General features: G+C 45.9%; 1 protein-coding gene, 1 long non-coding RNA gene and 2 other non-coding genes across 6 annotated transcripts, besides 2 other annotated features; 2 read left to right on the forward strand and 2 right to left on the reverse strand.

The window, feature by feature from the left end:
• Window positions 1-125: 125 nt before the first annotated feature.
• Window positions 126-25,209, forward strand: PRMT5-DT (PRMT5 divergent transcript). Its single transcript, NR_110002.1, has 3 exons — window positions 126-269; window positions 4,160-4,209; window positions 24,848-25,209. It is a non-coding gene; the product is annotated as a PRMT5 divergent transcript (long non-coding RNA).
• On the forward strand, window positions 218-290 carry TRR-ACG1-3 (tRNA-Arg (anticodon ACG) 1-3). Its single transcript has one exon. It is a non-coding gene; the product is annotated as a tRNA-Arg (tRNA).
• Window positions 257-346: a silencer, noted in NCBI's record as "silent region_5596". NCBI's record gives its function as "represses an Ori minimal core promoter by ATAC-STARR-seq in GM12878 lymphoblastoid cells {active_cell/tissue: GM12878}" and the evidence as "EXISTENCE:reporter gene assay evidence [ECO:0000049][PMID:35858748]".
• HAUS4 (HAUS augmin like complex subunit 4) lies at window positions 16,745-27,607 on the reverse strand. Of its 3 annotated transcripts, none has more exons than NM_017815.3 (10): window positions 27,441-27,607; window positions 25,617-25,693; window positions 23,058-23,200; window positions 22,845-22,976; window positions 22,072-22,206; window positions 20,831-20,927; window positions 18,385-18,530; window positions 18,118-18,248; window positions 17,688-17,756; window positions 16,745-17,225 (listed from the first exon to the last, which is right to left on the reverse strand). In NM_017815.3, the coding sequence occupies exons 2-10, from the start codon at window positions 25,669-25,671 to the stop codon at window positions 17,042-17,044; spliced, it is 1,092 nt and encodes a 363-aa protein (NP_060285.2). In that variant the 5' UTR covers window positions 25,672-25,693; window positions 27,441-27,607; the 3' UTR covers window positions 16,745-17,041. The 3 variants fall into 3 exon arrangements, with proteins under 3 accessions (NP_060285.2, NP_001159741.1, NP_001159742.1); NM_001166269.2 differs by having other exon boundaries at window positions 27,433-27,607; NM_001166270.2 differs by lacking the exon at window positions 22,072-22,206.
• Window positions 27,299-27,428: an enhancer, noted in NCBI's record as "active region_8155". NCBI's record gives its function as "activates an Ori minimal core promoter by ATAC-STARR-seq in GM12878 lymphoblastoid cells {active_cell/tissue: GM12878}" and the evidence as "EXISTENCE:reporter gene assay evidence [ECO:0000049][PMID:35858748]".
• Window positions 27,467-27,546, reverse strand: MIR4707 (microRNA 4707). Its single transcript, NR_039856.1, has one exon. It is a non-coding gene; the product is annotated as a microRNA 4707 (primary transcript).
• Window positions 27,608-27,673: the final 66 nt, after the last annotated feature.

A 27,673-nucleotide genomic window follows, 5' to 3' on the forward strand; every position in this document is an offset into this window, starting at 1 on the left:
GAACAGGAGGGATGGGGAGTGGCTTTTCCTGCCAATCCGCGGGCTGCACAGTGGCGTACGGCATGGATCCACCAATCTCAGGGTCTGGTTCCTGACGAACTTCAATCTCCCAGAATGCTTAGTCTATCTGAAGAACGCCGTTGAGAGACTACACCGCCCATGAAACCCTGCAGTATAACCTTGAAGTACCATCACGGAGAGAAACAGTGCCATCTCAGGGCCAGTGGCGCAATGGATAACGCGTCTGACTACGGATCAGAAGATTCCAGGTTCGACTCCTGGCTGGCTCGGTGGGGTTCCTCGCAGCTTCGCTGCGTGAGCATTTTGTAATTTTCCTTTCCTTTCGCAGCTTGATGCTTCTTTATTATCTTCACGCTTTCATTATCAGATCCTGAGTCGGTTGGGTTATGCAGCCATGTAATGTCAGCTTTTCCCGTAACTACCCTCAAAAGTGTTTTTCTTGTGTCATTATTTACGTCCATATGAACACTGAGAAAACTGGGTTAATGGCTGGTGCTATTAAAATGAGCTTTGTCACCTTACTATGTTACATATTAAAATAAACTGCTAACTCAGCTACTACTTCCTAGTGATTCTAGGAAGTAGTGTTTTGTGTTTCAAACACAAAAGGTGTAAATAAACGCCTAAACACACACACACACCTCAAGATAGAGAAAAGGAATTCATTAATTACAGTGGGCAGCAGTCATGAAATTGGCTGGCATGGAGGCCAGAGAGAATCTACATTTTCTCATGTCATTAGCTGCTAGAGATGGAAAGGAAGGAAGCAAGGAAAGACATAGGGAGGTAAATGGGAACTCCAGAAGGCAGGGGGCCCACTGGTGTTGAGGGCTCGGCAGCAAGGATGGAGAGGAGAACACGGTACAAGAGACCCCACGCAGGCGCCGCTGGCAGAACTTAGGGACCGACTGGCAAGGAGTCCTGAGAAAGCAAAGTAGGGGGTGATGCCTAGGATTCTGTCCATGCAGTGAGCAAGAAATGCGGAAAGAGGGTTTGGGAAATCAGGGTTTGGGTTTGGTCATGCTGAATTGAACGTCTAGGGGGCGCTGTGTAATAGAAAGTTGGATGGAGGTCGCTAGAAGAAAAGAACTGAGGCCATGCGACTGAGATCACCATAGCTCGTTGGGGACAGAGCCATAGGAAATACGAAAAGGGTGTGGGGTAGGATAAGTTCTGGGGAACCCTGGGTGCAATGCAAGTGCCCCAAAAGAATGAAAGCCGGAAAACCGGCCGGGCGCGGTGGCTCACGCCTGTAATCCCAGCACTTTGGAAAGCGGAGGCGGGTGGATCTCCTGAGGTCAGGAGTTCGAGACCAGCCTGGCCAACATGAAAACTCCCCGTCTCTCCTAAACGTGGTAGCAGGCGCCTGTAATCCCAGCTACTCGGCCAGCTACTCGGGAGGCTGAAGCAGGAGAACTGCTTGAACCCGGCAGGCGGAGGTTGCAGTGAGCCAAGATCACGCCACTGCACTCCAGCCTGGGCAACAAGAGCAAAATAATGTCGGGGCAGGGGGAGGAGGAAAGGAAAGTCGGAAAAACCAAAGCATTTAAAAAATGCACCATGAAGGCCAGGCTGGGCACAGTGGCTCACGCCCGTAATCCCAGCACTTTGGGAGGGCGAGGCGGGCGGATCACCTGAGGTCGGGAGTTCGAGACTACCCTGACCAACACGGAGAAACCCATCTCTACTAAAAATACAAAATTTAGCCAGACGTGGTGGCGTGCGCCTGTAATACCAGCTACTCAGGAGGCTGAGGCAGGAGAATCACTTGAACCTAGGAGGTGGGAGGTGGAGGCTGCAGTGAGCCTAGATCATGCCGTTGTACTCCAGCCTGGGCAACAGCAAGACTCCGTCTCAAAAAAAAAAACAAAAAAAAACCCCAGCACTTTGGGAGGCCGAAGCAGGCGGATCACGAGGTCAGGTGATCAAGACCATCTTGGCTAACACAGTGAAACCCCGTCTCTACTAAAAAAAATACAAAAAAAATTAGCCGGGTGTGGTGGCAGGCGCCTGTAGTCCCAGCTACTCAGGAGGCTGAGGCAGGAGAATGACCCAGGAGGCAGAGCTTGCAGTGAGCCGAGATCGTGCCACTGCACTCCAGCCTGGGCGAGAGAGCGAGACTCCATCTCAAAAAAAAAAAAAAAAAAAGCTCCATGAAGCCTGAAGTGATTGGAGGTGCTTTTGTCCACTATTATCGTTACTATTTTTCTGCTCCAGGATCCCATGCAGCATATCATATGACATTTAGTTGCTATGTCTCCTTAGGCTCCTCTTGGCTATGACAGTTTCTCAGATGTTCCTTGTTTTTGATGACTTTGGTAGTTTTGAGGAGTACTGGTTAGGTATATTGTAGGATGCCCCTCTATTGGAATTTGTCTGTTTGTCTCATGATTAGACTGTGTTTTGGGAAGGAAGGTCACAGAGTTAAAGTGCTGTTTTTGCCGGGGGCAGTGGCTCAGGCCTGTAATCCCAGCACTTTAGGAGGCCGAGGCAGGCAGATCACCTGAGGTCAGGAATTCGAGACCAGCCTGGCCAACATGGTGAAACCCCGTCTCTACTAAAAATACAAAAATTAGCCAGGAATGGTGGCATGCGCCTGTAATACCAGCTACTCGGAGGCTGAGGCAGGAGAACTGCTTGAAACTGGGAAGCAGAGGCTGCAGTGAGCCGAGATCACACCACTGCACTCCAAGCCTGGGTGACAGAGCGAGACTCCATCTCAAAAAAATAAAAGTGCTATTTTAATCACATCATATCAAGGGTACATACTATGAACATGATTTATGACTTAATGTTGACCTTGATCACCTGAAAAGAAGTAGTTTATCCAGTTTTTCCACTGTTAAGTGATTCTCTCCCACCCTCTCCCCGGCCCCAACTTTCCATACTGTATTCATTGGAAGGAAGTCACTATGCTCCCCCTCCTTAGAGTTGGAGTATCTACAGAATTTATTTGGAATTCTTCCCTCCAGGTCTTTCCAATAAATGGTTGTTCTCAGCAAGTGGGTGAGTACTCCACCAGCATTTTATTTATTTATATTTTATTTCATTTTTCATTTTATTTTGAGACAGAGTCTTGCTCTGTCGCCCAGGCTGGCGTGCAGTGGCATGATCTCAGCTCACTGCAACCTCCACCTCCCGGGTTCAAGCAATTCTCCTGCCTCAGCCTCCCAAGTAGCTGGGACCACAGGTGTGCACCACCATGCCTGGCTAATTTTTGTATTTTTAGTAGAGACGGGGTTTCACCATGTTGGCCAGGCTGGTTTCAAACTCCTGACCTCAGGTGATTCACCCACCTCGGCCTCCCAAAGTGCTGGGATTACAGGTGTGAGTCATGACGCCCCACTTTCACTGGCATTTTAAGAGGTAAAAGAAAGAGTTGTTGAGGAGGTCTGCTTGTTCTCTGCCCTAGTTGTGCCCAGCCAAACTCTACATTCACAGAAGACTTGTTAGATGTTTTTTCTTCTTTAGAAGCTAATTGTCTAGATTGTGGACCATCTGTGCTCCTGGCATCTCACTCCTGATGTCAAGCAGGTAGCTGCTCTGTTGGTTGTTAACTAACCCATCATGGGTGACAGGGAGAGAGGACAATCTATAAAACAATAATGTCAGTTTTGCCATCAGTTAAAGTAATTTTCTAAAGGATTCATGTAAAAAGAACCTAGAATTTCTGACTGACCCTAAAGTAAGTTTACATGGGCTGAATTTCTTTGGTCTGTGCTGTCTTTGTCTTTTCATTCCAAATGGCCTCGGCATTGTGGCTAGCATCATGCTGAACAGTTCTCAGTAACTCCATACCACGTTGCTCTCAGCCTTTTCTATAGCACTTTCCTGTGCCATAAAACACAGCATGTAACCGTGGGTCTGTCTACATGAGTTGTAGAGGAGCAAGAAGGGAAGGAATGAAGAGAAATAGAGCGCCTTGAACAGGTCCTGTCCCTAGGCGTTAAGTCAAAGTTGGTGAAGTCTACATTATGTTCTGCTTTGCTCTGCTCTGCATGCTGAGTTTTTGGGCCCAGAAGTGTGTGAATCACTGTTATACTATGGGACTTTTGCCTTGGCTGAGATGAAGATAGGGAAATGGTGGGACAGAAGGGCAAATACCCTGGGTGAGAAATAATGTTACTTTCTCCAACAGGAGCCAATGACCAATAGGCCAGAGCACTGGAGACTTTCTGGAAGAAAGAGGTACCCACTCCCAGATAATGCTCCCACTTATCCCCCTGGCTTTCCTCGCTTTCAGGCCCAATTCTTCCACCTTATCTTGTTCTTTTGTCCTTGTTTAAACACCTCTAGCCCATTGAAAACCTCTTGGCATCTTCTACTGTGCTCCCCTCCTCCCTCAGCGCTTGCCTCCCTCCCCAGGCCCACCTTCACTCATCTCTGTGCCTGCCCAGCCAGCCACACTCTTCAACACCAAAATAATGGCCTGTTTGACCCTCCTACTGCTCCAAATTTCTTTTTCACAATCAAGGCTGTACTCCAGCTATGAAAGTGGCAGAGTTACTGAGGCAAAATAATCTGTGCAGATTTGCATTCTCTTTTTTGTCATCTCTATTATACAGTGTTTATCTGTCAAAATGAATAGAAAGCAGGAACTGTTCTGAACATAGAAAAAGATGGAAAACTACCCAATTTATTTATGAAGACAGAACACATCTAATATCAAAACCTGTCAGAAATAACACTCCCAAAAAAGCTATAGACCCTTACTTATGGATATAAATGTTAGATTCCTAAAATATTTAAGATTAATAAATAAAACGTAACAGTATGTTAATATAGTAATTATATAATACAACCAATTAGGGTTTATACCAATAATTAATACAAAGGTATTAGGAAATTTCTTTATAGAATAGGTCAAAAATAAACCAAACAAAAAATATTTGACGGTTGTTAATTGTCAAAGAAGAGAACACAGTATGTTAACTGCATTTTCTATAAATATTCTTTTTTTTTTTTGAGACAGTCTCGCTCTGTCGCCCAGGCTGAAGTGCAGTGGCGCGATCTCAACTCACTGAAACCTCCATCTCCTGGGTTCAAGCAATTCTCCTGCCTCAGCCTCCCGAGTAGCTGGGACTACAGGCGTGTGCCACCATGCCCGGCTAATTTTTTTTGTATTTTTATTACAGACAGGGTTTCATCGTATTGGCCAGACTGATCTCAAACTCCTGACCTCGTGATCCGCCCGCCTTGGCCTCCCAAAATGCTGAGATTAGAGGCATGAGCCACCGCACTTGGCCATAAATATTCTTAATAGTTTTGATATTCATCATGTATGTGTATATATAAGATCAAAAACTTATGTAAAGATGAAATGAGCTGCCCTGCATGGTTGTAAGTGCCTGTAGTCCCAGATACTCAGGAGACTGAGATGGGAGGATCCCTTGAGCCCAGGAGCTCGAGGTCAGCCTGGGCAACACGATGAGACCTTTTCTTAAAAAAAAAAAAAAAAGATACAAGAATATCTAGTCTCATCACTGAGTTATTTAGTATTATTCTGAAAAATCCAATATAATAAGATTGGAAATAGAAAAAAAGGGGTTACAACTTTTAGGAAGGGAGAGGTAAATTTATCATTATTTGTAGATAATATGATTGTACACATAGAAAATGCGTAAGAATCCATTTTAAAATGATGAGAATTAATACTAGAATGCAGAGAAGTAACTTGATGTAAGATAAGTATAAAATAAATCTGTAGCTTCTCATATACTAAGATTAACCAGTTAGAAGACATTATTGATTTTTAAAAATCCCAATAATATGATAGTTAAGAGTATGGCCTGCTAAACCAGATAGCAAGACGTTAAAGCCCTGTTCATTCATTTACTAGGACTGTGAACCTAACCCTTCTGGCCTCAGTTTTCTCATCCACAAAATGGGAATGTAAATAATAGCTCTTATAAAGTCATTATGAATATTAAATTAGTTAACATAGTAAAGCATTTAGAAGCTACCCTGCACATAGTAAACCTTCAATACATATTGGCTATTGTGATTATTATTTTCCCCATTCACAGTGGTAACAGTAACACTACTATAAAATATTTATCTTTACTGAAAAATGTGAGAAACTGACATAAAGAAAATTATAGGCTGGTTACAGTGGCTTATGCTTGTAATCCCAACACTTTGGGAGGCCGAGGCAGGAGGATTGCTTGAGCCTAGGAGTTCAAGGCCAGCCTAGGCAACATAACAATACCCCATCTCTACAAAAAAATTTTAAAAATTAGCTGGGCGTCAGCCTGGCCAACATGGTGAAACCCCGTCTCTACTGAAAATACAAAAATTAGCTGGGTGTGGTGGCACATGCCTGTAATCCCAGCTACTCGGGAGGCTGAGGCGAGAGAATCCCTTGAACCTTGGAGGCAGAGATTACCGTGAGCCGAGATTGTGCCGCTGCACTCCAGTCTGGGCGACAGAGTGAGACCCTGTCTCAAAAAAAAAATTAGCAGCCGGGCACGGTGGCTTGTAATCCCAGCACTTTGGGAGGCCGAGGCAGGTGGATCACCTGAGGTGAGGAGTTCGAGACCAGCCTGGCCGACATGGTGAAAGCCTATCTCTACTGAAAATACAAAAATTAGCTGGGCGTGGTGGCAGGCACTTATAATCCCAGCTACTCAGGAGGCTGAGGCAGGATAATTGCTTGAAGCTGGTAGGCGGAGGTTGCAGTGGGCCAAGATCGGGCCATTGTTCTCCAGCCTGGGCAACAAGAGCAAAACTCCATCTCAAAAAAAAAAAAAATGACCTGGGCATTGTGGCACACACCTGTAGTCCCAGCTACCCAAGAGGCTGAGGTGGGAGGACTGCTTGAGCCCAGGAAGTTGAGTCTGCAGTGAGCTGTGATCAAACCACTGCACTCCAGCCTGAGTGACAGAGCAAGACCCTATCAAAAAGGAAAAAAAAAAAATTGCTGCAAGATAAAATAGAAGACTAAAAAAAAAATGGAGAAACAAGCCATAATCTTAGAAAATAATGAATCTTATAAAGATGTAAATTCTTACCAAATTAATTTCTCAAGTTCTCACTTTTACAACATTCAATTACGATTCTTTTTTTTTGTTTTTTGAGACGGAGTCTCGCTCTGTCACCCAGGCTGGAGTGCAGTGGCACGATCTCAGCTCACTGCAAGCTCCGCCTCCCAGGTTCATGCCATTCTCCTGCCTCAGCCTTCCAAGTAGCTGGGACTACAGGCGCCCGCCACCACGCCCGGCTAATTTTTTGTATTTTTAGTAGAGATGGGGTTTCACCGTGTTAGCCACGGTGGTCTCAATCTCCTGACCTCGTGATCCACCCGCCTCGGCCTCCCAAAGTGGGGGGATTACAGGCGTGAGCCACTGCGCCCGGCCCATTCAATCACAATTCTAATGGAATCTTTTGTTACTTGATAAAATAATTCTACTGTTAATCTGCAATAAAAATCAGACAAGAAAAGCAAGGAAAACTCAAAAAGAGAGGAGAAAGAGGCCAGGGAGTGGTGGATTTTTTTTTTTTTTTTTTTTTTTTTTTTTTTTGAGACACCTCTGCCTCTCAGGCTCAAGTGATTCTCCTGCTTCAGCCTCCCAAGCAGCTGGGATTACAGGCGCACGCCACTACTGCCCGGCTAATTTTTGTATTTTCAGTAGAGACGGGGTTTCACCATGTTGGCCAGGTTGGTCTTGAACTCCAGACCTCAAATGATCCACCCACCTCAGCCTCCCAAAGTGCTGGGATTACAGGCGTGAGCCACCACACCCGGCCTCAATGAAATCTTCAGCAGCCATTAAAATCAGTGTTGTCAAAGAAAATGTAGTAACATGGAGAAAGTCTTATGACATGCCATTAAGAGACACACATTACAAATTTTACACACAGAATGACCTCAACTATGTGGAAAAATTGTATTTTCCAAATGTTCTGTATAAGCGTGTTTATATTACACGTAAAATATTTTTTAAAATACATATAAAACCTGTTACCTTGGCCGGGCACGGTGGCTCACGCCTGTAATCCCACCACTTTGGCAGGCTGAGGCAGGCAGATCACCTGAGGTCAGGAGTTCAAGACCAGCTTGGCCATGGTGAAACCCCGTCTCTACTAAAAATACAAAAAATTAGCCAGGCATGGTGGTGTGTGCCTGTAATCACAGCTACTTGGGAGGCTGATGCAGGAGAATCACTTGAACCCGGGAGGCGGAGGTTGCAGTGAGCCGAGATCGCGCTATTGCACTCCAGCCTGGGCAACGAGTGAAACTCTGTCTCAAAAAAATAAAATAAAAATAAATAAACCTGTTACCTCTCCCTGATCTTTGTGCTTATGTCCTTTCTTTTGAAGGTCTAGCCAAGGCCTCCCTCCTTCTCTATAGGCTTGTGTAGCTATCCAGTCTTCAGCAATCATTCTTGCCTCATAACATGATAGTCCTAGCCAGGCTAATATTTATTTATTTATTTATTTTTGTGAGATGGAGTCTCACTCTGTCACCCAGGCTGGAGTGCAGTGGCACAATCACGTCTCACTGCAAGCTCCACCTCCCGGGTTCAAGCAATTCTCTGCCTCAGCCTCCCAAGTAGCTGGGATTGCAGGTGACCGCCACCATGCCTGGCTAATTTTTGTATTTTTAGTTGAGACGGGATTTCACCATCTTGGCTAGGCTGGTCTTGAACTCCTGACCTCGTGGTCCACCTACCTCGGCCTCCCAAAGTGCTGGGATTATAGGCATGAGCCACCATACCCTGCCCAGGCTAATATTAATTAAGCTCTACCACATGCCAGGCACTTTAAATATATTATCTCAAAAGGCTGGGCGCAGTGGGTCATACCTGTAATCCCAGCACTTTGGGAGGCCAAGGTCAGCAGATCACTTGATGTCAGGAGTTCAAGAACAGCTTGGCCAATATAGTAAAACCCCATCTCTACTAAAAACACAAAAAAATTAGCTGAGCCTGGTGGTGCACTTATAATTGTAGTTACTTGGGAGGCTGAGGCAGGAGAATCGCTTGAACCCAGGAGGCGGAGGTTGCGGTGAGCCAAGATAGCGCCATTGAACTCCAGCCTGGGCAACAAGAGCGAAACTCCTTCTCAAAAAAAAAAAAAAAGAAAAAAAAGGAAACAAATATTTTAAAATTTTCTCAGCCCGTTGCAGTGGCTTACCCTTGTGATCCTAACACTTTTGGGAGGCAGAGGTGGGAGGACTGCTTGAGCCCAGGAGCTCCAGACTAACCTGAGCAACAGAGTGAGACCACGTCTCTGCAAAACAAAACAAAACAAAAACCCAGCATGGTGGCACGTGCCTGTAGTCCTAGCTACTAGGGAGGCTGTGGTGGGAGGATCCTTTGAGCCAAGGAGGTTGAGGCTGCAGCTGCACTCCAGCCTGGTTGACAGAGTAAGACCCTGTCTCCCAGAAAAAGAAAACAAACAAGCAAAAAAACTGGGCAAAGGACATGAACAGACACTTCTCTAAAGAAGACATAGATGTTGCCAACAAATATATGGAAAAAATGTTCAATATTACTAATCATTAGAGAAAGGCAAATCAAAACCGCAATAAGATACCATCTCACACCAGTCAGAATGGCTATTATTAAAAAGTCATGCCGGGCGCAGTGGCTCACACCTGTAATCCCAGCACTTTGGGAGGCCGAGACGGGTGGATCACGAGGTCAGATCGAGACCATCCTGGCTAACACAGTGAAACCCTGCCTCTACTAAAAATACAAAAAATTAGCCGGGCGCAGTGGCGGGTACCTGTAGTCCCAGCTACTCGGGAGGCTGAGGCAGGAGAATGGCGTGAACCCGGTAGGTGGAGCTTGCAGTGAGCAGAGATCGTGCCACTGCACTATAGCCTGGGCGACAGAGCAAAACTCTGTCTCAAAAAAAAAAAAAAATGAAAATTAAAAAGTCATGGCTGGGCTGGGCACGGTGGCTCATGCCTGTAATCTCAGCACTTTGGGAGGCCAAGACGGGTGGATCACCTGAGGTCAGGAGTTCGAGACCAGCCTGACCGACATGGTGAAACCCCGTCTCTACTAAAGATACAAAAAAATTAGCCGGGCGTGGTGGCAGGCGCCTGTAATCCCAGCTACTCGGGAGGCTGAGGCAGGAGAATCGCTTGAACCCAGGGGGTGGAGGTTGCAGTGAGCCGAGATCATGCCGCTGTATTCCAGCCTGGGTGACAGAGCAAGACTCCGTCTCAAAAAAAAAAAAAAAAAAGAAAGAAAGAAAGAAAAATAAATTAATGTGAGAATAGAAAACAAAACACCGCTAGTTCTCACTTATAAGTGAGAGCTAAACATTGAGCACACACGGACATAAAGATGGAAATAGACACTGGGGACTGCTAGAAGGGGAAGGGAGGGAGGTACTATGCTCACTAACTGGGTGACGGGATCATTCATACACTAACCCTCAGTGACACACAGTTTACTCATGTAACAAACTTGCACACGTACCCCCTGAGCCTAAAATGAAAGTTGGAAAAAAAAAAAACTGTAGCATTACTTCTGCTTGTTTTCAGCCTGCTGGCCTGCCCTACAGATTTTAGACTTGCCAGCTCCCATAATCACATGAGCCAATGAGCCAATTCTTTAAAATAAATCATATATAGATCTTTTTTTTTTTTTTTTTTTGAGACACAGTCTGACTCTGTTGCCCAGTCTGGAGTGCAGTGGTGTGATCTCGGCTCACTGCAACCTCTGCCTCTAGGATTCAAGCAATTCTCCTGCCTCAGCCTCCCAAGTAGCTGGGACTATAGGCGCGAGCCACCATGCCCGGCTAATTTTTGTATTTTTAGTAGAGACAGGGTTTCGCCATGTTGGCCAGGATGGTCTCAAACTCCTGACCTCAGGTGATCCACCTGCCTCGGCCTCCCAAAGTGCTGGGATTACAGGCATAAGCTACAGCGCCCAGCCAACCTTACTCTTTAGATAACCCTTTTCTAAATCCTAGGCAGGTCATTTGCTGTTGGTTACACACTATTTAGCCAGGCTTGGTAAATTTAGGACTCTCCAAACTTCAGTTGTTTTTTCCTGAGACCAGAAGTTAGCCACTTTGGCTGGACCTCAGCAACTCAAAAACAAACCATCTTTTAGAGTAAATTATTTCTACACATTGTTTAGTCCATTGTAAATTCACTCGTATTTTTGCTGTCTCAAGGGATAAGGAAGCCTGCTAGTTCCTTTAACAAAACCTAGTCCAGGTCCTTCAAGATGGATCATATGGAGAGATTCTTTTTTTTTTCTTTTCGAAAGAGAGTCTTGCTTTGTCGCCCAGGATGGAGTGTAGTGGCCCCATCTCACCTCGCCTTACTGCAGCCTCCACCTCCCAGGTTCAAGCTATTATAATGCCTCAGCCTCCCAATTACAGGTGCGCACCACCACACCTGGCTAATTTTGTATTTTTCAGTAGAGACCTGGTTTCACCATGTTGGCCAGGCTCGTCTCAAACTCCTCACCTCAAGTGATCCGCCTGCCTCAGCCTCCCCTCCAAAAATTGCCGGGATTACAGGCGTAAGCCACCGCGCCCAGCCAATATGGAGAGATTCTTTATAGGGTGAGGGGCACCCTTCTCCTTTGGAGATGCCAAAGTTGGCCCTTAGGGGGCGCTGGGTCTCCTGTTTGTGGTGGCCGAGGAAGAATGCAGTCACTCCCCAGGACACCTCCATATTCACCTTTCACTGAAAATATTCAGGGAACAGATTTTGTTTATCCAAGAGTCCCAGAGTTGATCCTGTTCCAAGTTCTGAAGGTGATTTCCTTTGCCTCTCATTACAAGGGAAGAATCTATAAGACTTACCAGATGTGGTAAGAGGCAAGTAAAGAGAGGTTCGACTGTGAAAGAACGAAGGGAGGCAGTAAATGCAAATCTTTTCTAAGCAGTGTGAGGGAAAGAGAGCAGCTAAGGTCCAAGATGCTAACCCTCAACTGTCACTTTCTTTTTTTTTGAGAAGGAGTCTCGCTCTGTTGCCAGGCCTGGAGTGCAGTGGCGCGATCTCGGCTCACTGCAACCTCTGCCTCCCAGATTCAAGTGATTCTCCTGCCTCAGCCTCCCGAGTAGCTGGGACTACAGGTGTGCACCACCACGCCTGGCTAATTTTTGTATTTTTAGTAGAGACGAGGTTTTGCCATGTTGGCCAGGATGGTCCCAATCTCTTGACCTCGTGATCCACCTGCCTCAGCCTCCCAAAGTGCTGGGATTACAGGCGTGAGCCATGGCGCCCGGCCCCTCAGCTGTCACTTTCATGCAGACCCTTCTACTTGTCCTCCAAAGCTCCTTCCCATATTTGCCACAATAGAGAGCAGCATGTATGAAGGGCACCTCCAACAAGTCTTCCACCTCCAGTCAATGTGCAGAATGAATGCACCAAGAGAAACAGCTGTAGTGCTCCCTCAGGCCGCAGTGGACATGATTTTTGTTCCTTTTCCCCTACGAAGGAACTGTTTTGAAAGTTTTTTTTTCCACCAGACTACATTCATAAGCTCAATCAGTAGTTTATTTTTTTCTGGTCGGGCGCAGTGGCTCATGCCTGTAATCCCAGCACTTTGAGAGGCCGAGGACAGGCGTGTCACCTGAAGTCAGGAGTTCGAAACCAGCCTGGCCAACGTGGCAATACCCTGTCTCTACTAAAAATACAAAAATTAGCTGTATGTGGTGGCACGCGCCTGTAATCCCAGTTACTCGGGAGGCTGAGGCAAGAGAATCGCTTGAACCTGGGAGGCGGAGGTTGCAGTGAGCCGAGAACATGCCACTGCTCCCAGCCTGGGCAAGAGTCAGACTCTGTCTCCAAAAAAAAAAAAAAAGTTTATTTTTCCCATAAAATAACTAATATACTGATTTACTGTAATACCAGCAGAAAGCAAAGGCACCTGAGCAAGATATATGTGCAATGACATCCAATGAAGCATTTTTGTAACAGGGCAAGAGGGAAACAACCTTAATATCGTGAAGGGAAGGGTTAAATGATAATACAGCCATACTCTAATAATAATATTAGCCACATTTTTAAAACTTTTTCTTTATTGATTTGATTTTTAGAGACAAAGGTCTTGCTCTGTCACCTGGGCTGGAGTACCTTGGCACAATCATAGTTCACTGCAGCCTCTAACTACTAGGCTCAGCCTCCTGAGTAGCTAGGGCTATCAGAGCACCACCATGCCCAGCTAATATTAGCTAATATTTATGTACATATGGTTGCATATTTATAGAAACAGATCTGACACACAGTGATCTACACACCAAATCACTCTGGTTACTCTGGGGAGGTAGATTGGAGTAACAGGGTATTTGTGTGGGGGGTGTCTGAGGGTGCATGGTTCAATCTTTTACTTTTTACTGTATATAATTCTGTTCTGAGTATTTTTACAAAGCATGTGCTCTAGTTGTTTTTGTTTGTTTGTTTGTTTTTTAAGATGGAGTTTCGCTCTTGTTGCGCAGGCTGGAGTGCAATGGCGCGATCTCGGCTCACCGCAACTTCTGCCTCCTGGGTTCAAGCGATTCTCCTGCCTCAGCCTCCCTAGTAGCTGGGATTACAGGCATGTGCCACCACACCCGGCTAATTTTGTATTTTCAGTAGAGACGGGGTTTCTCCATGTTGCTCAGGCTGGTCTCAAACTCCCAACCTCAGGTGATCCACCCACCTCGGCCTCCCAAAGTGCTGGGATTACAGGCGTGAGCCACCACGCCCAGCCTGCATGTGCTCTAGTTTTAAGCCAATGAAGTTTTTTAAAAAATAGTTTGGGCCGGGCGCAGTGGCTCACACCTGTAATCCCACCACTTTGGTAGGCTGAGGCGGGCGGATCACGAGGTCAGGCGATCGAGACCATCCTGGCTAACACGGTGAAACCCCGTCTCTACTAAAAATACAAAAAATTAGCCGGGCGTGGTGGTGGGCGCCTATAGTCCCAGCTACTTGGGAGATTGAGACAGGAGAAGGGCATGAACCCAGGAGGCGGAGGTTGCAGTGAACTGAGATCGGGCCACTGCCCTCCAGCCCAGGTGACAGAGCAAGACTCCGTCTCAAAAAAAAAAAAAAAAAAAAAGTTTGTGCAGGGCCGGGCGCGGTGGTGGCTCACGCCTGTTATCCTAGCACTTTGGGAGGCTGAGGCAGGTGGATCACCTGAAGTCGGGAGTTCGAGACCAGCCTGACCAACATGGAGAAACCTCATCTCTAATAAAAATACAAAATTAGCTGGGCGTGGTGGCGCATGCTGTAATCCTAGCTACTTGGGAGGCTGAGGCAGGAGAATCACTTGAACCTAGGAGGCAGAGATTGCAATAAACCAAGATTGCGCCATTGCACGATCCAGCCTGGGCAACAAGAGCGAAACTCCATCTCAAAAAAAAAAAAAAAAAAAAGTGTGTGGAGAACTGTCGCAAGCAAATGTTCCATTTTCTTTTCTTTTTTTTTTTTTTGAGACAGAGTCTCACTCTGTAGCCCAAGCTAGAGTGAAGTGGCACGATCTTGGCTCACTGCAACCTCCGCCTCCCGGGGCTCAAGCAATTCTCGTGCCTCAGCCTCCTGAGTAGCTGGGACTACAGGCACGCATCACCACACCCAGCTAATTTTTTTATTTTAGTAGAGATGGGGTTTCACCATGTTGCCCAGGGTGGTCTCTAACTCCCGAGCTCAGGCAATCTGCCCACCTCCGCCTCCCAAAATGCTGGGATTACAGGCATGAGCCACTGTGCCCAGCCCATTTTCTTTAGGCTTTTTAAGAATACAAGAAATAGCTCACTCTCCATCCCCATGCCATTTAGAGAGCCAGGGTGAGGACCACTGCCTTGGAAGCCATTTCTCAGGCAGTCGAAATTGAAATGTTTCTCAAACCCCAGCTCTCCAGATTCTCGATTGAAGCTATAGGATATTTGTTTCAAATTTTGTTCACTTGAAATGAAAGCTCTCCTTGGTACATGATTTGCCCATTCTTAACTCTGTGCCTTCCCATAGTGCTTCTTTCCTTTTCTCTGTCTTCGCTGCTTTTTCCATAACTCTATTCCTTTTTCTTTTTTTTGAGACAGAATCTTGCTGTCACTCAGGCTGTAATACAGTGACATGATCATAGCTCACTGTAACCTCAACCTCCCAGACTCAAGCAGTCCTCCCACCTTAGCCTCCTGAGTAGCTGGAAATGTAGGCACATGCCACTATGCACAGCTAATTAAAAAAAATTTTTTTGGCCAGGTGCAGTGGCTCATGCCTGTAATCCCAGCACTTTGGGAGGCCGAGGCGGGCGGATCACAAGGTCAGGAGTTCGAGACCAGCAAGGCCAATATGGTGAAACCCTGTCTCTACTAAAAATACAAAAATTAGCCAGGCGTGGTGGTGGGTGCCTGTAGTCCCAACTACTCAGGAGACTGAGGCAGGAGAATCACTTGAACCCAGGAGGCAGAGATTGCAGTGAGCCGAGATTGCGCCACTGCACTCCAGCCTGGGCGACAGAGCGAGACTCCGTCTCAAAAAAAAAAAAAAAAAAAAAAAAAAAAAAGAGAAAAAAAAGTTGAGTCAAAGACATTAATTGTCTTGTAAATAAATCCACACCATCACCCCAAGACAATTTCCTTGGAAAGTGGTTTCAGAAACTGAGTAGGCTCTTCTAAATAAAGGTAGAGGCCTTCTGTTTCTGTCCACAGTCCCCTATTTTGACACCAGCCAGGACTCTGCCTTGTTCTAAGCTAAGTAGACTGTTGAACTTGGTTCCTCAGGGGGAATCTCCTCCAAACCTCTGCTTTTAGAGAAAAATGTAGCTCTCAAACCACACCAAGGGAACCAGGAACACAAGTGGCTTGTGTCCTTTCCTATAACTGAGCTGGCCACTGGCTGCCTTTTTTTTTTTTTTTTTTTTTTTTGAGACAAGGTCTCACTCTGTCACCCAGGCTGAGTGCAGTGGTGCCATCATGGCTCACTGCAGCCTTGACCTCCTGGGTTCAAGTGATCCTCCTGCCTCAGCCTCCTGAGAAATTGGCACTACAGGCACATACCATCACGCTTGCTAATTAAAAAAATTTTTTTCAGCTGGGTGTGGTTGCTCATGCCTGTAATCCCAGCACTTTGGGAGGCCAAGGTGGGCGGATCACTTGAGGTCAGGAGTTTGAGACCAACCTGACCAACATAGTAAAACCCTGTCTCTACTAAAATACAAACATTAGCTGGCCATGGTGGTGCATGCCTGTTAATTCCAGCTACTAGGGAGGCTGATACACAAGAATTGCTTGAGCCTGGGAGGCGGAGGCTGCAGTGAGCTGAGATCACACCACTGCACTCCAGCCTGGCAACAAAGTAAGACTCTGTCTAAAAAAAAAAAAAAAAAATTTTTTTTCACAGAGACAGGGGTCTTGCTACGTTGCCCAGGCTGGTCTCGAACAGCTGGGCTCAAGTGATCCTCTTGCCTTGGCCTCCCAAAGTGCTGGAATTACAGGTGTGAGTCACTGCTCCCAGCCTCAGCTGCTTTATTATAACTCCCACACTGATACCCATAGTGAGAAAATAGTTCCCTACCTGCCTGAGTATCTAGCACTCCTCTGGAGATTATAGTTCTTCAAGAGCAAGCCCAAATTTAATCCACTGTACTCTTCCAAAATGAAGGCTCTAAGACTTGATGTAGGCAAGCTGGCATGTCTACTTCTTACTCTTTGCATAAGCATCATGTATCTGTTTCTATTTGGATCCACTCAGTTCCCCGCTCCTTACCCATATAGCCTTCAATGTTCTTTTTCAATCTTTGCCCAAGGAAAATGACTAAAATCCTAAGATATAATATCATAACTTTATTCAGGAGATAATCAAATACAATACAGGGCTGACACTGACACACAGCTATGCATAAAAATTATATAAATCTCCTTGCTAGATTTTCCAGAAGAGGCCCAGTCATAAAAAATAAAGAGAAACCAGGAGAGTGCCTAAATGACTGCAGTGTTTCAAGCGTAAGCATTTCCACACTCCCTTGTACTGAAGGCAGCCCCAGGTGAAGGTGGTCCCACTAGCAGGAAGATTAGGAGGCAGCAGCTATGCAGAAGCCATGTCTCCTGGCCCTGCCAGAGCTCAACGGTAGACCTTGCTGAACTCCTGGAGGGCCCACCGCTTGTTCTCTGTTGCCTGCTTGAGTACGGTGTACTCTTTCACCAGCCTGTCAAACTCCTCCCCAAGGACCTCATAGGAGTTCAGGACCTGTCTTGAGTTCTCCATGTCCTGCTCCTGTAGGTGAATGGCTCCCTCCAAACGGTCCCTAAGAGCCCGGGCAGAGAAGGCACAATATAAGGGTGCTGCTCCTCAGAAAGTAGTGGACAAAAATGAAAAACTTTTTTTTTTTTTTTTTTGTCAGATGGAGTCTCGCTCTGTCACCTAGGCTGGAGTGCAGTGGTATGATCTTGGCTCACTGCAGCCTCTGCTTCCTGGGTTCAAGCAATTCTCCTGCCTCAGCCTCCCGAGTAGCTGGGATTACAGGCACATGCCACCATGCCCAGCTAATTTTTGTATTTTTTAGTAGAGACAGGGTTTCACCATATTGGCCAGGCTGGTCTCAAACTCCTGACTCAAGCGAGCTGCCCACCTCGGCCTCCCAAAGTGCTGGGATTACAGGTGTGAGCCACTGTGCCCAGCCAAAAATGGCAACATCTTTAAATAAACGAGTTTAGGGAATGTGAGAACCACCTGTGAACAGCTGTACCAGACTCTTAGGAGTTCTCACCTAATCAGACGATGAACTTCCACTTTCTCAACAGTGTAAGTGTCGGACAAAATCTTTAGCTCCTCCATCCTGACAGAGGGAAGAAAGAAATGTCAAGGCAGGAAGGTCCCTGATAGCAGCAGGGTTGGGAATGGACGTAGTACCTGCCGACGGTCAAGGTGTGGGCTAAGCACTGATAGGATAAACAAGGTCACTCTGAATTCCCGAGCAATTGATCTCACAGTAAAGTGCCTATTTCAGAAGACTGTAAAAGAAAAGTCTCAAGGATGTTGAAAGCTTTTGGGTAATCCAAAAGCTAATACTGCTATGTGACATTTACTGGATACCCACAAGGCGCTAGGATAAGGGAGAGGAAAGAGATTAGGGTAAGGGATAGAGGGCTGATAACGTGAGACAGAATCCCTTAAGATCCACAGGGGTCACAGCTCACCTCAGCTTAAGGATCATAGCACCGCACTTGACTTCCAGGTACTGGGCATTGATGCGGTCTAGCTCGGATTGAGTCTTCAGCCGGTGTTCTTGAAGAAGCCTCTGCAGCAAAGTGAGGCAGCGGAGAAGCACCTGAGCCCAAGATGGAGGAAGAAGAGGGCATAAATAAAGATAGTAGAAAGGAGGGTAGATCAGGAATCTTTGTCTTCCCCAAAAGTGCTCCTGGGGTCAGGATAAAGGAAAGGGGCTGTCCCATGCCCTGATAAACCTGGGAGTAAGCAGCACTCTTCTTCTCCAGCAGCAACATCTGCTCCTTCTGCTGGCTCTTGGCATCCTGGCACTGCTGCTGCTCACCCACCAGGACCTCTGCGAGTTTCCACACCTTTGCTGCCTTCACGGTTTCACTGTCAGCATCTGAGCAAAGGGGCAGAGGACTGACAGGAAAACCCTAATCGCTACAATCCCTGTAAAGCAACCTTCCAGTGCCCCTATCCTGTATCTAGACCCACAAATCCTGCCTTATGACAGGTTTTCTTCTAATAATCTATTAAAAATGGCCCCATTCTGGGCTGAGCATGGTGGCTTACGCCTGCAATCCTAGCACTTTGGGAGGCCAAGGCAGGAGGATTGCTTGAGCCCAAGAGTTCAAGACCGGCTTGGGCAACATAGTGAGACTCTGTCTCTATAAAAAAAATTCTAAAATATTAGTTAGGCATACTATGCGCCTGTAGTGCCAGCTACTTGAGAGGCTGAGGTGAGAGGATCACTTGAGCCCAGAAGGTCGAGGCTGCAGTGAGGTGTGATTGTACCACTGCACTCCAGTCTGGGTGACAGAGTTTTTAAAAAAAAAAAAGCGGGGGGGGGGAGGGCATCTGGTTCTCATAATTATTAAATAAATTATCTTCACTCTTACCTTTGATTCCGGATTTGGACCTTAATTCTTTTTATTTTTTTGAGACGGAGTCTCTCACTGTCACCTCGGCCGGAGTGCAGTGGCGCGATCTCAGCTCACTGCAACCTCCACCTCCCAGGTTCAACCAATTCTCCTGCCTCAGCCTCCCAAGTAGCTGGGATTACAGGCACCCGCCACTACACCCAGCTAATTTTTTGTATTTTTAGTAGAGACGGGGTTTCACTATATTGGCCAGGTTGGTCTCGAACGCCTGACCTCATGATCCACCTGCCTCGGCCTCCCAAAGTGATGGTATTACAGGCGTAAGCCACCGCGCCCGGCCCGGACCTTAATTCTTAAGTCATAGAAATGGTTTAAGGAGACCAAGTGTGGTAGCTCATGCCTGTAATCCCAGCACTTTGGGAGGCCAAGGCGGGCAGATCACCTGAGGTCAGGAGTTTGAGACCATCCTGGCCAACATGGTGAAAACCTGTCTCTACTAAAAATACAAAAAAATTAGCTGGGCAGGGTGGCAGGCGCCTGTAATCCCAGCTACTTGGGAGGCTGAGGCAGGAGAATTGCTTGAACCTCGGAGGCGAAGGTTGCAGTGAGCTGAGATCACGCCATTGCACTCCAGCCTGGGCGACAAGAATGAAACTCCGTCTCAAAAAAAAAAAAAAAAGAAATGGTTTAGGGAGGAAAGTTCAGACTCAGGTGTTAAGCTTTATTATTTTCGTAAAAATGATACACATTCAGGGCCAGGCACAGTGGCTCACGCCTGTAATCCCAGCACTTTGGGAGGCCAAGGTGGGTAGATCATGAGGTCAGGAGACTGAGACCATCCTGGCTAACACGGTGAAACCCCGTCTCTACTAAAAATACAAAAAATTAGCCAGGCGTGGTGGCGGGCACCTGTAGTCCCAGCTACTCGGGAGGCTGAGGCAGGAGAATGGCGTGAACCTAGGAGGTGGAGTTTGCAGTGAGGTGAGACTGCGCCACTGCACTCCAGCCTGGGGGACAGAGCGAGACTTCGTCTCAAAAAAAAAAAAAAAAAAAAAAGAGATACACATTCATTCAGGGTGGTCAGACTCAAATAAGAAAATCATTACACAGAAGCAAGTAAAAGCTGAAATATGAATACTACGTCTAGAAACACATTATTATAAACAGCTTGACATAAATGGTATTATACCCTCCAAGCTTATACAGAGAGTATAAGGTGTTCTATGAGTCTGAACTTTCCTCCCTAAACCATTCTGAACCTCCTGAGAGAACTCATCCTTCCCTGCAGCAGGAGGACACTCCCACTCAGTATCTTGCTGAATAAAAAGAGTCCTTACAAAGGTCCTTGTTTTGGCCGGGTGTGGTGGCTCACACCTGTAATCCCAGCACTTTGGGATGCCGAGGCAGGCGGATCACCTGAGGTTGGGAGTTCCAGACCAGCCTAATCAACATGGAGAAACCCCATCTCTACTAAAAATACAAAATTAGCCGAGCGGGGTGGCGCATGCCTGTAATCCCAGCTACTCGGGAGGCTGAGGCAGGAGAATCACTTGAATCTAGGAGGAGGAGCTTGCGGTGAACAGAAATGGCGCCATTGCACTCTAGCCTGGGCAACAGGAGCAAAACGCCATCTCAAAAAAAAAAAAAAACAAAAAAACAAAAAGTCCTTGTTTTTATTCTACCAGCAACAAAACAAATAAGCATCTCTGATGGTTCTAAACCTCTGTCCCAAATCTAAAATCAAAATATATTATTCTCAAAAGAGCAGACCAGGAACCCTGAAGTCCAGCTGTGAGCAGAACAGACAGCTAGCACTCACCTGAATTGGGATCATAGTAGCAGAGCAGAGTGAAACATTTCTTTTTGAGCTGCTCCTCTACTTCTTGCTGTAGCCGAGCCCTCATCCACACAAAATCCTACAGTCATAGAAGTAAAGGCAGAAATGCGAATAGACTGTAAAAACTAGGACGTCTCAGCCAATGAATACATGATGATAACCTCAATAATAGCCAAAGAAAATGCATCAAGAGACATCAGAGAGACTCATTTTTCACCTATCAAATTAGCGAAGAATAAAATGACTGTCAAGACCCCATGTTGGTGAGAACATGGGGGATCCAGGAGCCCTGAAAATACCTTTCTGGATAGCAGTTTGGCATTAGGTACCAATATTCTGTATGAGTATGCACTGACTCAGGAATCCCACTTTTAGCACCAGCATTACAGAAATAATCATACAAAGGTAAAGACACATATGAACCAGCATGTTCATCTCCCTGTGGTTTCTAACAGCAAAAATGTGGAAACAACCTTAATATCCACCAATAAGGTTAAGCAAATTATTCTACATCCATATAATAGAATCCTAGCAGAGATTTAAACTGATGACATAACACTAAGCACTATGTGCCTAGATACTTTGCTAACAGTGCTATAGAAGCTATCATCTTATTTACATTTATGTATTGACTTGAAAAGAAATCCAAAATATATTACATGAAAATAGACTGTACTTTTCTTTTTTTGAGACAGGGTCTCACTCTGTGCCCAGGCTGGAGTACAGTGGCATGATCACAGCTCACTACAGCCTTGACCTCCCACCCTCAAGTCATCCTCCTGCCTCTGTCTCCCGAGTAGCTGGGACTACAGGTGTGCACCACCAAACCTGGCTTTTGTTTTGTTTTTTTTTTGGTAGAGACGAGGTCTCACTATGTTGCCCAGGCTGGTCTTGAACTCCTGAACTCAAGTGATCCTCCCACCTCAGCCTCCCAAAGTGCTACGATTATAGGCGGAAGTCACTACACTCGGCCTTATACTCTCTATATAAGCATGAAGGGTATAATACCATTTATGTCAAGCTGTTTATAATAATATTGTGCTTCTAGATGCAGTATTTCAGCTTTTACTTGCTCCTGTGTAACGTTTTTCTTATTTGAGTCTGACCACCCTGAATGTGTATCATTTTTACAAAAACAATAAAGCTTGACAAAAAAAACATTTTAAAGATATGGGAGAAATTAAACCATTTCATTTATTTGGTTCCAATATCTCCCCGCCAACCTCTGAGAGTGGCATGAGTTCCAGAAGGTCCGCTTTCTCCAGCCCCAGCAGTGGAGGTATCTCCCTCTCCTGGCTAGGACCTAAGAGCCGCATCAGTTCAGTTACAAGCAGCCGCTGTTCAAGGGTCTCATGAAACTGAGAGAGAGAGAATAAAAAACAAAAAGAGGCAACTATAAAACTTCTCCCACTCCACCTCTTCCATCCTTATGAACCAGTTTTTCACATATTTTCAAAGTCCTCAAATATATCATCCCCCCTCAGATAACTCAGCTGCGAGTGACTTCTGTCAATGTTTCTATTACAAACTCTGATAACACATCCACTCCTTCCCCATAACTACAGTCCATTTCTCTTTTGACAAACCATTTCTCAAAGCTCCTACTTCCCCTAGATCACATCATCAGACAAAGCCACAGTTGGCCTGGTCATTCCTGTAACTGGTAACCAACCCCACCTCATTTCTTTCACCTCACTTTTTTTTGAGACTGAGTTTCGCTCTGTCACCCAGGCTGGAGTGCTGTGGCGCAATCTCGGCTCACTGCAATCTCCGCCTCCCAGGTTCAAGCGATTCTGCTGCCTCAGCCTCCCGAGTAGCTGGGATTACAGGCGTGTGCCACTGCACCTGGTTAATTTTTGTATTTTTAGTAGAGACGGGGTCTTACCATGTTGGCCAGGCTGGTCTCAAACTCTTGACCTCAAGTGATCAGCCTGCCTGGGGCTCCCAAAGTGCTGGGATTACAGGTGTTAGCCACCACGCCCAGCCTTTGCCTCACCTTTTTGTCCTCAGAAGTTACATTTGTGTCTTGTATCTTCACATAGTAGTCCACAAGCAACTCTTGAATGACTCTGTGTAAAATCTCAGACCTCAACCATGTTGTCTTATGCAGTCGAACTTCCTTCCATGCCTAGAAATCCAAAAAATCTCAGGTAGGAACCTCTCTCTCAGGATTTTCCCTTCTTCTTATCTCTTCTCCCAAAGCCCTTACCTGAGCCTGCTCCTTTGCTAGGGTGAGGCTTAAGCCACTCTCATCCACATGCTGTGAGAGATTCAGGAGAAGCTTGCTGAAGTATGGGTTCTGTAACAGGTCCTCTTTACTCAGGTTACAAGGAGGAAGTTGTTTGCTGCACACTTAACATCATGTCCCCACAGGTACAAAAAAACAAAAAAGGTGTGGACTCTTACTTTACATAACTGAGCATAACTTAATACTTCCAAAAAACCCCTAGGATTTTTATAGGAAAGATTGCTAAATCTAATGAGATTTTTTAAAAATCCACAAATAAACAAGGGTAATATTCAAGGTAACAAGCATTTATATTATATACAAGGATATTAAGGGGGAATAAGTAATAAACTAAGATCTTAGGAAACGGAAATGCAGTTGGTACATATTAGACAAATAGAATAAAAATTAAGGGACCGTTAGTAGGAATCACAATACACAAAATGCCTCATTCATCCAAAATTAATAGAGTTCTTGAAGTAGGGGGAAAGAAACACAACACGTGAAGTTCCAACTTTGGATGTGATATGTAGTCGCATAAACAAGACTAACAGAATACACTTAGAGTAAGTTAAACGTTCAACTAACCAATTTTTTTTTTTTCTTTTTGAGACAGGGTCTCACTCTGTCACCCAGGCTGGAGTGCAGTGGCACAATCACAGCTCACTGCAGCCTTAACCTCCCCAGATCAAGCGATCCTTCCACCTCCTGAGGAGCTGAGACTACAAGGCAAACCACGATGACTGGCTAATTTTTTTTTTACAGACAGGGTCTCACTACATTGCCCAGGCTGGTCTTGAACTCTTGGGCTCAAGTGATCCTCCCACCTTGGCATCTCAAAGTGCTGGGATTACAGGTGTGAGTCACCACAGCTGGCCCAAATTCTTTTTTATTTTTTTCTTTTGAGATGGAGTTTTGCTCTTGTTGCCCAGGCTGGAGTGCAATGGCGTGATCTCGGCTCACTGCAATTTCCACCTCCCGGGTTCAAACGATTCTCCTGCCTCAGCCTCCCGAGTAGCTGGGATTACAGGCATGCGCCACCATGCCTGGCTAATATTTTTTGTTTTTTGTTTTTTTTTTGAGACGGAGTCTCACTCTGTCACCCAGGCTGGAGTGCAATGGCACGATCTCGGCTCACTGCAAGCTCCACCTCCCAGATTCACGCCATTCTCCTGCCTTAGCCTCCCAAGTAGCTGGGACTACAGGCACCCGCCACCACGCCCAGCTATTTTTTTTTTTTTTTTTGTATTTTTAGTAGAGGCGGGGTTTCACCTTGTTAGCCAGGATGGTCTCAATCTCCTGACCTCGTGATCTGCCCGCCTCGGCTTCCCAAAGTGCTAGGATTACAGGTGTGAGCCACCGTGCCCAGCCTCTAATTTTTGTATTTTTAGTAGGGACGGGGTTTCTCCATGTTGGTCAGGCTGGTCTCAAACTCCCAACCTCAGGTGATCCGCCCGCCTTGGCCTCCCAAAGTGCTGGGATTACAGGCATGAGCCACCACACCTGGCCAGCTGGCCCAAATACTTATAATTGTCAGTAGAGTTGAGTAACCCATGTAGATACAAAACAGCACAGGCATGAGAAAAAAGTGTAAGAAATTGAGATCCTCTGGTTTTTCCATATGCTCAAGGAGCTTTCTTTCCATTTCTTTTTCCATATGCTCTCTGTTGGGGTCTTTTACCTCTACTTGCCAAAACACCCAAATTTTCATTCTTTGGAACATTATACCCAAAGTCTTTTTGGGAAATAAGAAATCTCTCTTTTTCCCTAAGGTACTGAAGCATCCAATATGGAAATAGTCAAGATATAGAAAATGCAAGCTCTTGAAGGATTCAAGATATAGAAAGGATCTGAGATATGGAAAGAACTCAGGATATAGAAGGATCTGAAATTTTGGAGACTAAGATATGAGAATATTTAAGACACAGGTAGGAAGGACACCTTCAAGGAATTTGCTGGCTACCCTTATTTTTATAATATGCTTGCTAACATCAGCATGGGAGCATCTTGAGTTTTTAGCCTACTACACAAGCAGATATTGAACCAACATTAACAGGAATTAGTGTAGTCTGTTTTCCAATAAGAGAGTGTTCAAGGATCTTCATGTATTCCAGTTTCCTCAGAAACACATGCTTCTGTGAGGAAAACCATACTGGGGAAACTTATAAATCCTTTTTTTTTTTTTTTTTTGGAGTCTTGCTCTGTTGCCCAGGCTGGAGTACAGTGGCACGATCTCAGCTCACTGCAAGCTCCGCCTCCCAGGTTCACACCATTCTCCTGCCTCAGCCTCTGGAGTAGCTGGGACTACAGGTACCCACCACCACGCCCAGCTAATTTTTCGTATTTTTAGTAGAGACAGGGTTTCACCGTGTTAGCCAGGATGGTCTCGATCTCCTGACCTCGTGATCCACCCACCTCAGCCTCCCAAAGTGCTGGGATTACAGGTGTGAGCCAATAAATGCTTTTTACTAGAAAAGGCAAGAACCTGGATAAGACCTCTCTGGATAAATCATCAAACCTTTTGCAAGTGGCTACTCTTACCTTGTTGAAGTATTTCCATCCCTTCTCCAGGTGAGCAGAAATCCCCGGATGCCATTTGATTTTCTTGGGATTCTAATCTGTGGAACCAAGAAGTGAAAGAAAACAAAAAGATGAATAAACAGCTGGCTGCTCCAAGGACACTACCTTATGTTCAAATTTCTGCTGTCCACAAGCTGGAAAGGAACCTCAAGGATGACTTTTACAGAGGGCCTATACCACACATCCTGGGTCCCAAGCTCTTACACAAGCTTTATGGACAAACAGATTTACAAGTGCCAAAACATGTCACATTCTAAGCACACATGTGTTTCCACTTGCTCCAAGCTGTCCAAAAGGAGCATCCTAAAAAGAGAACTTTCCAATTCACTGAGTCTAAACAAGAGGATTCTCCACCACCACCACCATTATGCCAAAGTTAAAACTGAGCTGCAGCTTCCCAGTTATGAGTGAACTGGGGGAAAAGGGAAAAAAATCAAAGTCTACTTTTTCCCCCCAAATAACTCAGCTATCAAATTCCATAATAGTTTTTTTGTGCTTCTTTTTTTGTCTAAGATCTGTTGGTAGTTTTTTTTTTTTTTATCATTAACTCTAGAATCATCCTTCAGGAATGACAAATCATTCCACACTTGAACAACTGGTTTTCACATAACAGCCTAAGAAAAGAGCACCTGGAGGAAACAGCGTGACAAGAAGACTGACAGTGAGGTCAGTGGCAAAAGAGTAATGCAAAGGTGTAATGTGGCTACAACGAGAACGTGAGCTGTGGGTGTTTTGCCAGAACATGGAGTGCGCTGAAAGGAATGACACCAACACAGGGGCAGTAAAGATGGGCACAGTTTGACCTCAGGAGACAAAAATTTTCCCTTGACATTACTTTTCATGTTTTTGCTCTGCCCCTCCTCTCTGCAAGGTATCAAACTCCAAAGGGCAACTGAGCCTCCCAAAGCTGAACAGGCATTGAAGGTTATTATGATTTAACGCTTCATGTTTATAGAACATTTGGTTTACTCGATCGTTTTATGAGTAACATCAAAGTAACTACTCATTTGTTTTCTAACATGGTCTAGAGGGGGACGCAGCTGAGGAGGCAGAATGCTGGGACTTAATTTGCAGCTCGGCCGGCCGTTGCTTCTGAGAACTTAAGGAAAATGCTTTTTTCTGTGCCAAACTTTTCCCACCTGCAAAACTGAGATAACGATTCCTGCCTTGGATGAGACATTAAGAATTAATAACACAATCGACTTGTCAACAAAAGCCACTACTTAGTTAAGTTCAGTGTTTTAACAATTCTGTTTATCGTTGATCTATGACTGCAAATAAAAAGTTTTGCAGGCAAATTTCGCACTTGGAAATGAAGACCAACCCAAATTCCAAAAAGCTAGCTGTTCGTCCCCCCCTAGGGTAAGTGTCCCCTTGCGTTTTTTAGGGTGCCTTTCTTTACCCTTCTTAAAGGTTACAGGGCGTGAACGGCAATCAGGCTCGATTCTCCACCCTCTGCACTCAGACGTGTTAAAACGCTGCTACAGGGACCCAAGCATTTAAATGTTCTGACTCAGGCGTCTTTTAAATTCTTAGAGCTGTCTTTACACGCTGCACTGAACGTTAAATTGATTTTACAGGTTATTTTCACAAGATATGACCCTTACAGGGCCCGAGATGAATCAAAATGCAGAACGGGCTCTCCGGCGCCTACTTCCCTTCTGTCTGGGCGGCCAAGGATTCCCAAGAGCGACGACGGTCTCCGGCCACTGGCCGGAATGACTCTCCCAGAGCTCCTCTTCCCCGAAGCTCCGCCCGCCGACCCTCTAAAGCAAACCTGCACACCCTGGGGCAGCTGAAGCTCTCAAGGCGGTGCCGAGAACCTCGGCTGGGGCGGGCTGGCCAGCAGCGTCTACACCCCAGAACCCGCCCGCGCCGGGGCTCCGGAACCTCTCGTTCGGGCCGGGCGCAGGGGCTGGGGGAAGCGAGGCCCGGAAAGACCAAGCTGAAAGGCCCGGGAAGGGGAAGGAGCCGAAAGTGCACTAGAGGCCGCGACGAAGGAGGTGGAGGCGGGGCCA

The sequence above is a fragment of the Homo sapiens genome, chromosome 14 (assembly GCF_000001405.40).
Source record: "Homo sapiens chromosome 14, GRCh38.p14 Primary Assembly".
NCBI lineage: Eukaryota > Metazoa > Chordata > Mammalia > Primates > Hominidae > Homo > Homo sapiens.

Bases quoted from the DNA above. Each gene is read 5' to 3' on its own strand.
- HAUS4 (NM_017815.3), bottom strand. From the start codon at position 25,671: ATGGCATCCGGGGATTTCTGCTCACCTGGAGAAGGGATGGAAATACTT. The intron at 20,928-22,071 runs GTTGGCGGGGAG...CTATGACTGTAG, and splicing joins AACTCATGCCACTCTCAGAG to GATTTTGTGTGGATGAGGGC. The intron at 17,226-17,687 runs GTGAGAACTCCT...CCGGGCTCTTAG, and splicing joins GAAGTTCATCGTCTGATTAG to GGACCGTTTGGAGGGAGCCA.